Source organism: Homo sapiens, chromosome 2, assembly GCF_000001405.40.
Source record: "Homo sapiens chromosome 2, GRCh38.p14 Primary Assembly".
NCBI classification, from domain to species: domain Eukaryota; kingdom Metazoa; phylum Chordata; class Mammalia; order Primates; family Hominidae; genus Homo; species Homo sapiens.
Genome location: NC_000002.12, coordinates 2,944,743 through 2,958,177, shown reverse-complemented (window position 1 = coordinate 2,958,177; position 13,435 = coordinate 2,944,743). Strand labels below are relative to the sequence as shown.

The 13,435-nt window shown below is 40.6% G+C and overlaps 1 long non-coding RNA gene across 1 annotated transcript in view, besides 1 other annotated feature; it reads left to right on the top strand.

Moving 5' to 3' along the window:
- Positions 1-13,435, top strand: part of LINC01250 (long intergenic non-protein coding RNA 1250) — a 230,979-nt gene that overhangs the window by 167,849 nt on the left and 49,695 nt on the right. The window lies entirely within an intron of this gene.
- Positions 8,164-9,363: an enhancer, noted in NCBI's record as "CDK7 strongly-dependent group 2 enhancer chr2:2952587-2953786 (GRCh37/hg19 assembly coordinates)". NCBI's record gives its function as "activates an origin of replication core promoter dependent on BRD2, BRD4, P300/CBP, MED14 and CDK7 cofactors, with strong dependence on CDK7, by STARR-seq in HCT116 cells {active_cell/tissue: HCT116}" and the evidence as "EXISTENCE:reporter gene assay evidence [ECO:0000049][PMID:35650434]".

Here is a 13,435-nt window from a genome sequence, read left to right as displayed (position 1 = left end):
TAATAGGTTATTTCTATTTAAGTTGGTCTAATTATTTTAGATAATGTTTACATGAGATAAAATTCACAGTTTTAACCATTAACCACTTTAAGGCATAAAATCCATTTTTAAGTATATTTACAATGTTGCACAACCATCACTCCTATCTAATTCCAGAAGATTTTCATCACCTGTATGCATTAAGCAATCACTGCTCATTCCCTCCTCCCTGAGCCCTTGGCAACCACTGATCTCCTTTCTGTCTATAATAATTTGCCTCTTCTGGACATTTTATATTAATGGAATCCTACAGTTTTTGGTCTTTTGTGTCTGACTTCTTTCACTTTGCATAATGTTTTCAATATTCATCCATATTGTAGCTTATATCAGTACTTCATTTTTTATGGCTGAATATTATTCCATTGTGTGTATTCCACCACAATTTGTTTATCTATTCATAAACGGGTGGACATTTGGGTTGTGATATAGTTTGGCTCTGTGTCCCCACCCAAATCTCATGTTGAATTGAATTCCCAATGCTGAAGGAGGGACCTGGTAGGAGGTGACTGAATTGCGAAGGTGGAATTCTCCATGCTGTTCTCATGATAGTGAGGGAGTTCTCACAACATCTGATGGTTTAACAGTATGTGGCACATCCCCCTCACTCTTTCTCTCTTTCTTGCCACCATTAGAAGAAGGTACTTGCTTCCCCTTCTCCTTCTGCCATGACTGTAAGTTTCCTGAGACCTCCCAATCGTGCTTCCTGTTACACCTGCAGAACTGTGAGTCAATTAAACCTCTTTTTTCATTAAGAAGTACGAGTCTCAGGTAGTTCTTTATAGCAGTGTGAGAATAGACTAATACAGGTTGCTTTCATTTTTTGGCTATCGTGCTATGCTGCTATAATTGGTGTACAAGTTTTTGTATGAACATATGGTTCCATTATTCTTGGGTGTATAACCTGAAATGCAATTACTGAGTCATATGCTAACTCTATGTTTAACTTTTTGAGGACTGGAAAACTGTCTTCCACAGTGGCTACACCATTGCACACTCCTACTAGCAAAGTATGAGCTCTCCAAAGACTTCATACATTGAATCTACACATTCTCTTCAACAGTTGTTATTATTTTTTTATTATAGCCATCCTAGTGAGCATAATATGGTAGGTCATTGTGGTTTCAATATATATTTTTCTATTGACCAAGGATATTGAGTATCTTTTCATGTGCTTATTGGACATTTGTATATCCTCTTTAGAGAAATGCCTATTCAAATCCTTTGCCTATTTTTCATTTGGGTTGTTTGTTTTTCTTTATTTTGTTGGTTTACACAAGTCCTTTATTCTTAACACTAGACAATTGTCAGATTTATGACATTCAAACATGCAAATATGTTCTCACAGTCTGTGGGTTACCTTTCTACTTTCTCAACAATGTCCTGTGACACACAAAAGTTTTACATTTTGGTGACATACAATTTATCAATTTTTTTCTCTTGTTCTATTTGCTTTTAATGTTATATTTAAGAAACTGTTGCCTAGTTGAAGGGCATGAAGATTTACATCTATGTAATATACAATTATTTATTTCTCATATTGATATTGTGTATCTGCTTTTTTTTCACTATCGGTCTTGCTAGGGAATTATTAATCTTATTTGCCTTTAAAAATTAACTTTGGGCTCTTTTTCTATTCTATTCATTATGCTTTCTATCCTTATTTTTATTATTTTTTTCTACTTTTATGGGTATCATATGCAGTTTTTTAAAGATAGCTTCTTACAATGGATTTCTAATTAATTGATTTTCAATATTACTTCTATTGTAATGTATGCATTTATAAATTTTCCTCTAAGCACTGTGTCAGCTATACATCAAGTTTTGAAACATTGTATTTTCCTTGCCATCCAGTTAGCGTATGTTCTCAATTTCTTTGTAATTTCTTCTCTTCTCATGATTTACTTAGTCATGTATTGTTTAATTTCTAAATATTTGGAAATTTTCTAGTTATTTTCTAGTTATCATTATTGATTTCTTGCTTGATCTCACTGTGGTTATAGAACACATTAAATCATTTAAAATGTGTTTAGAGTTGCTTTTTCGTCCATAATATAAACAATTTTTAAAATATTCTATGTGAATTTGAAAAGTTGAGTCTATTTTGATAACTGTGTTTTTCACACATTTGTAATTTGTTTAATTTTTATTGAGAGAATTGTTTTACAATCTTTCTATGATTGTGAATTTCTCTATTTTTTAAGTCAATTTTTAGTTTTTGCTTTATGTGTTTTGAAATTGTGTTATTGGGTGCATAAAAAGTTAGGATTTAAACTTTCTGTTAAGTTTTCCTTTTATATTTCAAAATTTCCCTTTTTATCTCTAAAATACTTATTGCTTTAAAGTTCACTTTACCTAAGTTGAGTTATACTAGATGTTTTTTGGTTAGTGTTTTCAATGTATACAATTTTTGATTCTTTTATTTCAAATTTTCTCTATTCTTATGTTTAAATATATTTAATGTAAGCAACATATATTTCAATTTTAAAATACAGATTACAAAACTTTTGTCTTTTATTTGTATTATTTACATTTTCATGTAATGTCATCTGTTATAGTCTGGTATTTAAATCTAGTATTTTACTAGTTCTTCCCATTTGTACCATCTGTTCTTTGTTCTGTTTTTCTCCTTTCTAGCTTTGTTTTTGATCAATTGTAACTATTTTTAGTTTTACAGTTAACCTTTGCACCTAATTAGTTATACATGCTTTTACTGTTCGTTTAGTGGTTACAGTAGAGATTGTAAGACTGTAACATGCATCCTTGATTTATTTGAGTGTCAGTTAAAAATGTTTCTTCTATTATTTCCTGGGTAATTCAAAAACACTGTGATACTTGGACTCCTGTTTTTTGTGCAATTGTTGTTATATTTCAATCTTATATTGTTATATTTTGGGTAATTATTGTTATATTTCAATCTTAAATCTCATAAGATTTTAAAATCATAATGATACTGTGTAATCAACTAGAGTTAACCACATATTTACCCTTTCTGATGATTTTCATTTCTTCTTGTGTTTCTGAGCTTCTTTATGGATTCATTTCACTTTCTGTTGAAAAACTACTTTTTGTTTCTTTATATATATCTTTGGTATTGTTCTACTCGTGATGAATTCTCAATTCTTTCTGTCTAAAAACATGTTCATTTCACTTTAATGTTTAAGAGCTATTTTTGCTATGTCTTGAATTCTAATTTGGAAATATTTTCTTTCAGCATCTAAAACTGCCATTTAATTGTCTCTGGCTTCTGTTTAAGCTGCAAATGTAGTTGTCAGTCTCATTGTTGCTCTTTTGAAGGAAATGTTCCTCTTTTGTTTTAACTAGTTTTACTAATGTTTTCTTTTTCCTTGTTTTTCAGCAGTTTTACTATAATGTGAATTGACTTTTTGCAGGTGGAATTTTAAAATAATCCCCCAATGACCCTCACCCCTTTGTAATCATCTCTTCTTCAGTGTTGGTGGGACCTACGTATAGGATAAGACAGTGCTCCTGAGATCATGCTATGTTGTGTATAAAGGGATTCCGCAGATGTAGTCGGGGCCCCAGGTTAGTCAGCATTGAGTTAATCAATGGTTAGATTATCCCACTTGGGTCTTTTAAAGACATCAGATGATGTCTTTAAAAGCAGAGAGGTTTCCCAGAAGCCATGCTGTGAACTACTTATAGGTTCAAGTGGCCCGTAGCAACTTAGAGTGATCTTTCAACAGTCGCTGGAAAAAAAATGGGACCTCAGTCACAAAACCATGTGGGATTCAATTCTGTCTGCAATTCTGAAAGAACTGAAATGAGGTCCCCATGCTACAGATGAGAACCACAGCCCTGGAAGACGCCTGGATTGCAGCCTTGTGAAAACCGAGCAAAAGACCCAACTGAGCCCTGCCTGGCTTTCAGTTCTACAGAGCTGTGAGATGATACGTGCATGAAGTTTTATGCCTCTAAGTTTGTGGCAATAGAAAACCAGTACTTGCATTGCATTTTCAAAATTGTGTTTGCTGCTTTTAAACCTTGCAGAGAGGTAATATACCTTTTAAAATTTGTGGATCATGTCTCGTTTTTTTTTTTTTTGGAAAATGTCTAGCCAGCATGTCTTCAAATATTGGTTCCACTCTGATTTTTTTCTCTTTTACCTTTCTTGGTTTCCAAGAACCTGCATGTTAGACATTTACAGAGTATCTCATGTATTTTACATTTCATGTATTTTGTTCCAAAATCATAGATTTTTGCGTCTCAATCGAAAGCTTGAAGCATGCATGAGATTCTGCCACCACCCGAGTGGGACATACTCTCTAATTTTTGTCTCTTCAGCTCCATGAAATTTTGAAACATCTACATAGCTTTTGAGCATCTTAGTAGGCCCTTTCTGTTTTGTATCTTGGCTGATTGCTCCATGCATGCTCCGTTTAAAAGCTGGTCCAATGCTTCAGGAGGAAATTGCGTGCAGACATTTGGTTTGTTTTCTTGTGTTTCCCTTATTTCTGGGGTCTTTTTTCTTTTGGATCTGGCTGTTTGATGGCACTGAACTTCAGTTTTATCTTCCCAACTCAGTAAGGCTTCTGTTAGATCTAGGCCATAGTTTTCTCTTTAGACTTCATGCCTCAAAGTAAAAATTGGGAAATGACTATGGAGGAAAAATTTGTACAGAAAGTACAAATCAACTCATTTTCCTCCCCCTCTGGAGTCTTGACTTTTCTAGTACCTTCCTTGATTTCCGATCTTCCAATGCTTTAAAATTGTTCAGTTTTTAGTGTTGTTCTCCATAGGAGGGTTCTTCTAATATCAGCTACCACACCAGATCTCAGCTAGTAGCAGTCAAAACAGTGTAGTAGGCATACTCTAAGTGAATTTTCATTTATCAAAGAAGCAACACCTAATACTCTTTAAATACTGCTTGAGAATTAACAAATGAGAAACATGCTGAAAGAAAAGTGCTCGTCATTAACATGAAGCATGTTCATGATTCATGGCCAAAACATGTTCATGGTTCAACAGGCCTCTAAATAGATAGAAAATACAAATACTTTGAAATAACTAAAAATGCAGATGAAAGTCACCATCATTAAAAATCATGAAGAAAGGGGAGCTTCAGTTCAGAAGCTGGGACACAATGCGATATTACCTGACCTCAGGTAATCAATACCGTGTGTAACCTGCCTGCATTTTACAGAATTTTGAGGCACAGATGTGCCTTTGGGAAAGTTCTCGGTTATACCTCTCAGTTCTGTCACTCATGCCTCGGGGCCAAGCCTTACTTTAGCAAGGAGAATTTCATAGAAGAGGTGCAGTTAAAACACATGGGTTGTGGGAGTCATATGGAATGGGCTTAGAATATTAGTTTACCTAACACATTCTGTATTGAACAAATCGCTCACGTTCTTAGTTTCAGTTTTTCCATTTGTGAAGTGAAGGTTGATGTGACAATTAGCATGGAATCCCTGTCAATTGCCTGGTCCATGGTAAGATGTGTGTGTGTGTGTGTGTGTGTGTGTGTCTGTCTGTCTGTCTGTCTGTCTGTCTCTCTCTCCCTTTAAGCATTGCCTTTTCATGTTCAGGGGCTTGTTATAGATTGACACCATTCTATTACTTCCTTCTTACATGTATCTGGCTTCAGTAACTTCTTTTTCAGTCTGTGATATGTGTGTGTGTGTGTGTGTGTGTGTGTGTGTGTGTGTGTGCATGTGCGTGTTGGGGGAAGGGTTGGACTAGGAAGGGATGGATAGTGGGAATTTATGCTGTGGGAAGCTACTCCATCACAGTTCTGATGAGTCCAGCAGCCTATTCTCTGAGTGATCCAGGCAGCATTCATTAGCCCCACCAGCCAAGAGGGTCAGCGTGGCTCTGGAAGCAAAGGAGGAGAAGGCGGCAATTTCTAGCAGAGCAGAAGTGGTGGCAGAAGGATCACCTGTCTGTGGAGACCCTGAAATGATGCAATTACAGGACCAGCATAGGGTGAGATTTCAGGGACACCCAGGCCAGGCCTTTGGAGGCCCCCTTGTGATGGGGTGATTATGAGGTACACATACGTGCAGACGTTCTGGGGCTGGGCCACGCCAGACATCGATGTGGAGAGACAAAGGAAATGGGATGTTACATTCCAGAGCACGCCAGGGAGAATCATTCAGCTCAGATGTCTGTGGAATCAGAGGAGGGTGGGGGGACCAGTGCAGGGGGTACCGGAGCTGGGAGAGAAACAGACTGATAGGAAGCATGAGGGGGTGTCACAGTAAAGATGGCTAACGCTAGGGTGAACTGTCCTGGGTGAGTCCAGACAGCAAACTCCGAAACTTCCAAATCTTCAGATTTTCCTCAAGTTAAGTGATGACTGTTGTTCTTGAACAGGAATATGTGTTTTTAAGTTTTAAAAATTATTATAAGGGGCTGTGGGCTTGGCTGTTACAGGAAGGCAGAGTGTGACCCGTCAGCTCATCACCCGCCTCCTGCCTTGGCCTTATGGGGTCAGAGACGTGGTGGGGAAGCCTACTGTGTTTGGGATTCCAGAATAACCAATGGGTGGATGGCTTGGGACAAATGTCAAGCTGGAGAAAGCTGCCCCCCACAAATTCCTCCCTCACCCCTTTATTTCCTAGGAGCCCGCAGAATGCGTGGCTGGAGGGTGTTCAGAAGGAGTTGTATTTAGACTCCACAAAAGCACGTGACAAAGCCTCATGACATTTTACTTGAAAAAATTAGTTCAGATTTGATGTGAGCACATCCATATGGATTTCACACTGGTAGAGGGACTCCAAGCAAAATGAAGCAGTGGACAAGGACAGTTTTCCAGGGTGGGTGACTCCTGGCAGTACGTGCTGAAGACGGCACTCTCTTCTGCCATGGAGCTTCTGGTCTGTGTGCCAGGCCTGAGTGTCCTCAGTGCACACTGACCTGAGGATAACGCGGAAGGCCAGAGTGGACCCACCTGGAGGACCAGTCTTCACCATCACCACTGTGTCCCAGGAGGATGGGGGAGGGTCCAGTTGCTCTCTGCCGTGCCCCTTCCTCCAGCACAGTCATTAATTTCCTTTCTCTCTGCGTCAACAGTAACAGAATCAGAGAACCTGAATGGGAGGGGGATCACCCCGAGGTCACATCTCTGTTTTAATCAGCAAGGAATTTATGGAGAGAGGTGCTGTCATTTGCACCTGCAGCTATGGGGCACAAAGTCCCTGTAGCCATGAGATGGCTGAGACCACAGTAGGCACCTGCTCTCTACCTGCACAAGCCTGGACATTGATTCCTATCCTGTATTCCCCCGGGGATCTGGATCTTTATTGAGCACCTTTAGATGCTGACAGGGCTTCATATGTACAGGGGTGATCAGGCATCTTCGACGATGATCACAGAGATCAGTGAATCTTGTCTCTCCTGCTGGAAGAGCGGGGCAGCCGTGTGGGAAACTGTGCTAGTGTGGGAGTCAGGCCGACTCAGATGCAAGTACGGCTGCTTTATTGGCTTTGGCAGCTTTCTTAACCATTCAGGGCTTCCGTTTCCTCTTCGGTGTGCCAAGAAAATAATGCATACTTGGTAGGAATGTGATGCAGGTTAAAATACTGCCTTACATCTCCAAGTGGCCTAGACCGAAGGTGGTACCTGGCACATGACCAGAGCAGGTGCTCAGTAAGTGTTTGTTGAACTGAACTTCACTGGTAAAAGCATCCAAAGTGCACCTGGACCCTGATGACACAGTAGTAACGCTGGCTTTAGAGGCCAAGAACTGCAAGAATCATAACTAAGTTGTGCTTTTTACCTTTGAGATCTTTAAGGTGTGCATGGTTCTAGGGGAAAAATCAACCAGCAGTGGCTTGGAACACAAATACACACTGAAAAGTCATCACACTGGGTGGCTGTGAGGAGCCCGGTCCTCTTTACCATGGCTTAGGAAGGTGGGTGGGATAGACACTTTCTTTATTTTGTGTGTGTGTGTGTGTGTGTGTGTGTTTAAAGGTGTTTATTGCCAGAACTGCTAATGTCACTGGCATTCTGTGTCAGGCAGAAGGGACAGTCAGACCATGGCCTTCGTGGTGCAAGGTGGACCTCACGGCTGAGCTGATATTCCATGGCTGGTGTATCAATTGAAAGTGAGTTTACAAGCTCCAGGGATCCAATTTTGCCCGGATTATGTTCATGCTTTGCTTCATAATAGAAAACTGCCTTTGTCAGTTAAATAGAGGGTGGAAATTGTTTACGTCTGGCTTTCATGCCACTCTTTCCTCTAGATAGGGAGATGGTTTCAGAGAACACGCATGGCGTGCATCTCAAATACTTCAGAACACAGAGAAAAATAGCCCCGTTCCGTGCAGAGGACAAGCAATCACAGCTCCATCTGTTAAGCTTCTGTATCTAGCAGGAACTTTAGATTTATTATCTCATTGAACTAATTTTTTCAGACCACACTGGAGTTGGGCGTTGCATCCAATTTACAGAGGAAGGCGTTGAGGAAGCCGTGGAGATGGGATTTTCACCCAGGTCTCCTGTCTCTAGAGCCTGCATGCTTCCCGCTGGGGTTTTGCCTTTTGTGGGATTGAAGTTTGCTTCTTCCGTGTTTCTCAGTTTTCAGCCTCACCCTGCTTTAATGTGGGGCTGAGGTCAGTGCTGGTCTTTGAGCAGTGTGAAGCTCCAATCATTCCTTGTTTCTTGTTTTTCTTTGAGATTAGGTTGTTTTTGGCCAATTACACAGTACTCACTGCAGACCGCAGAGTACAATTCGAACACCACGCTGAAGTATCCTCAGAGGCCGGCACCACATCTTCCATTTCCCACGTATTATTCACGCACCACACAGGGGCCTCAGCTGCCCAGTCCACTTAGTGAGAATAGTTCTTCGGCCTAAAAGAAAGAGAAGAAGCAGCAAAAGAAGAGGGCAAGTGGGAACTGCTTTCATTCCCCACTGGGGTGATAAATAAAGGCTTATCCTCCTGATTTAGTTTAAAGAGATACAAAATTTAGGCTTACAAAGAGAATAGTTGGTGATAGAGATTTTCTCAAACACACAGGTTGGTCTTACAATCAGCAGATTTTTTTATTTCGAAATAAATGATGCATTAATGAATTATTTGTACTAGTATCTCTTGAATCCACCCGTTTTCTCCACCGCCACGGCCGTCCTCTCCATCTGGGCTATTGCTGTCCCTGTTGAGGAGTGCCTAGCCTCTCACCCGACCTCTCAGGTCCAGATGTCCTGTGGGGATAGGGTGTACTTTAGCAGAGACCTACCTGACCGTGCTCCGGTCATGCAGCCTTCCCTGGGTTCCATCCCTGTAGAGCGAATCTCACTCCTGGCCTAATCTCCAGTGCTCTGGGCTGTGCCCACCTCTCCAGCTCCCCTCTCCTCTCTGGGACCCACACCTGTGCCCCAACCACGTGGCGTGATTTATGGGTTTTCAGAGTCCTGTGCTCCCCGTACCCCAAGGCATCACACCTGGCTTCCTTGGCGCAGCCCTCTGTCTCCACTCCCTAGGGCTCCTCCACCCTCCCTGGGGTACCCTCCTCAAGAAGGAAGGCCCCACTCTTCCAGATACTCCCTGCTCCCCTTGCCTAGCCTGCAGGGTTGGGGGTCGCTCCTGTTGGCTTCTGCAGCATCTTGTTTTTACCTTGAATTCCTCCCACTATATTGTAAGCACTCATTTTGCTGGACTGCATCTGGGGCAAGAATTGTCTTCTCATCAACGCTAGCACCTACCAGGCTACCGGGTAAATAGGTTTGCAGGAACTGTTTGTTGAATCAATAATCACTATTGATGGATGGCTTTTTTTTTTTTGCCATTCTTCATCCAGCATTTATTGGGCAACCACCACATGTCAGGCACCAGGTTACCTGATGCAGCCGGCTCAGGAAGCAGCAGTGACAAGAACGAGACACTGGCAGCTCTGGGCAGAAGGTAGGGAAGCCCCCAGCCCTGGGGTCTCTGTCTTAGGTGTGTTTCAGGCGTGGGGTACCTGGAGCTGGCCAAGGAGCTATTCCTTAAACTCTTAGCCTTGTAAGGGCCTTGAGATGATCTGATCTGTATTTTTAATAATTGTTTTAGCAGTGGAACTGGTTCTTAAAATATTATCATGCATGAAACTTAATAAAAGAGCTAAAACTCTAGACTATTCTGGTTGAAATTGGGTAAGGGTCTGGGACTCTCACACACTGCATATCTCTCATCCCACTTGCCCGAAAATGGTTTGAAAAAATACAGATCTAGTCTAACAACAGTCTCTAAGAGGGGAAATGACTTGTGTAAAACGACACAGCTAGGGGCAGGGAAGGCACTAGGACTTGAACCTGGTCACGTTTAATCCAAAGTTCATCTTTTCAATCCTGTATTCCACACTGATTCCTCCTTGTAACTATCTATCTATCATCTGTCTGTCTGTCTATCCATCTATCTATCTATCTCTATCTCTATGTATCTGTCTATATCTATCAATCCTCTATTATCCATCATTTATCTACCTATCAATTATCTATCAATCATCTATTATCCACTATCTGCCAATCATCTATCAATGAATTATCTATCAACCATCTACCTACTATTTATAATCTATCAATCATCAGTCAACCAATTAATCATCTATCAGTTACCTATCATTTATTATTGATCATCTATCACCATCCATTCATCATCTATCATCTATCAATTATCTATCTACCATCTATCACCTATCAACCAATCATATATCATTCTTCTTCATTATCATCATCAGCAGCAGCCATCTATTTGGCTTTGATTCTGTGCCACAAAGATAAGCAATTTGCAAACAGGTGTCCTGTATTCATCCATTGGCCATAATTTTCTATGAACCCTGACCTGGTCTTTGTGGGACTGACCCCTCTAGGAACCATGCTGCCGACATGCAGTGACCAGCAGTCTGAATGTCCCAAACCTGTTCAGGAGGTAAATGCTACTTCTGCTTACCCTTTTCTCATCTGACCTTAGCCTTTGCTGCATCTGAGCCAGGGACTCTTGATGTCTCACTTTCCTTTCCAGTCCTTCCCAGGCACATGCTCCCCGGGCTCCTTCCTCTTCCCTGGACATGGTGTCATAACTGACTTCAGGTTTCCCTTGCATCAGCCTCAGTTTCTGGGAACAAAGCCCAGTACTGACCCTTCGTGGATGGCAGCCTTGCCCCATGTGCCTTGAGACCCTGGGGATGGGTGCTTTCCCATGCACTTGTTGGCTTCTCCTTCAGTAAGACTCTATGATGTTGGGCCGTGGGCTGCTGTGGAGACTAAGCTTCCATCCACTTTGCAGTGCCTTGAGTGCTGGATCTGTGGTGTGGGAGATAGTGAAGGGAAAGGGCTCTGCTCTGCACCATCCTTCTGGTTGCTCCAGAATCAGCCCACAGAAGCTCCATCAGTATCACCACATGGCTCCCATAGTCACCCCAGGCAACTTTGTGCAACTGCAAAGGGCGGAGAAAGTGCGGAGGGCTCTGTGGACGTGAATTCCCGATGAGTGCTAGAGGTGGAGTGCATCATTCTCATCCGCCATTCTTGGCCAGAACTTTGACACATGGCTCCCCTTGAAGACAAGGGGGCTTGAAAATATGGTTGCTGGATGGGCTGCTGTTTTTCAGTAGCAACTTTACATTATGAAAGGGAGCATGGATCATTGTTAGACAGCCAACAATCTCTGTAAACCATGGCACTCATCTGATGTCCAGTGTTTTGTCAACTGCCCTTTTATATATTTTGTGCATTCATTGGTTATTTCAGGCAGGAGAGTAAATCCAGTTCCTATTTGCCCACCTTGGCTAAAGTGGAATTCTCTTACTGGTTTATTCTTCATGCCTCTTTAAAAATTTTATTTTAATGTTTTCCTTAGAGTTTACTATATCTATCTGTCTGTCTGTCTATCTATCTATCTAATCTATCTCTATACCTTTAATTAATCATGGTCTACCCTCCAATTAAATAATACCACTCTACTTGTAGTGTAAGATATTTCAACAGTATACTCCTGATTTCTTCTTCCTGTATTTTATGTTACTGCCTTATATTTTATTTTTATATATGTTATAAACTGACAATGCATGGATACTAGGTTTGCTTTGGACAGTCAGTTATCCTTTAGAGCAATTAAAATGAAAAAAATCCTTTATAAATTTACTTTCACTTTTGCCATTTTCAGTTGTCGGCAGATCTAAGTTTGCCATTTTCAGATTAAGTTTGCTTGAAGAACTCCCTTTAATATTTCTTACAGATAAAATCTTGTGGCAATTAATTCTCTCAGTTTTTGTCTCAGAAAAAGCCCTTTATTTTTCTGTCCTTTTGATAGATGTTTTTACTTGGTATAGAATTCCAGGTTGACAGTTTTTTCTTTGTGCTCTCAGCACTTTAAAGATTGTAATCTATTGTCTTTTGCTTTGCATAGTTTTTGAACAGAAGTCTATTGTAATTTTTGTTTGTTTGTTTGTTTTTGTATGCTATGTGTCTTTTTTCTCTGGCTTCCTTCAAAAGTTTTCTTTACCTGTAGCTTTCAGCAGTTTGAACATGTGCGTGCTTTTTTTTTTTTTTTTTTGTCTATTTGTTTTGTTGATATTTATCCCACTGGGATTTCTTTGAGCTCAATAGTTGTGTATTTTTGGTATGTTTCACTAATTTTGGGAAAACCTTGGCCATTACTTATTGAAATATTTTTCCTTCAACACTGCCCCCCTTTTTTCCATCTGGGATTCCAGTTATATCTATACTAGATCATTTTCTATCGCCCCATAACTCTCGCATGCTGTTTCCTATTTTGTCACTGTTTTATCTTTGTCTTTCAATCTGGCTGATTGCTATTGACATTCAAGTCACTGGTTCTTTACTGAGATGCCTCAAGACTACTGATGAGCCCATCAGAAACATTCTCTATTTCTGTTCCTGCTTATTGCAGCCTCCCTTCCACTATTTCTAGTATTTATAGTTGACTCTTACATTTTTTAATTTTTTTTGAGACAAGATCTCATTCTGTTGCCCAGACTGCAGTGCAGTGGCATGATCATGGCTCACTGCAGCCTTGACTTCCCAAGGCTCAAGTGATCCTCCCACTTCAGCCTCCTGAGTAACTGGACTTACAGGTGTGTAACACCATGCCTAATTTTTGTATTTTTTGTAGAGATGGGTTCTCACTCTATTGCCAGGCTGGTCCCGAACCCCTGGGGTCAAGCAATCAGCCCAACTCGGCCTCCCAAAGTGTTGGGATTACAGGTGTGGGCCACCACACCTGGCCTGATTCTATCTTAGAGTTTTCATCTCTCTACTGAATTTCCCCATTTCTTTTTGCATATTGCCCACTTTTTACATTAGCACTTTTAACATATTTTTCATAGTTATTTTAAATTGCCATATGATAGTTTCAACGCCAGGGTCATATTTGTATCTGGTTCTATTGTGTACTTTGTCTCTTGATTGCATGTGTATATTTGCCTTGCT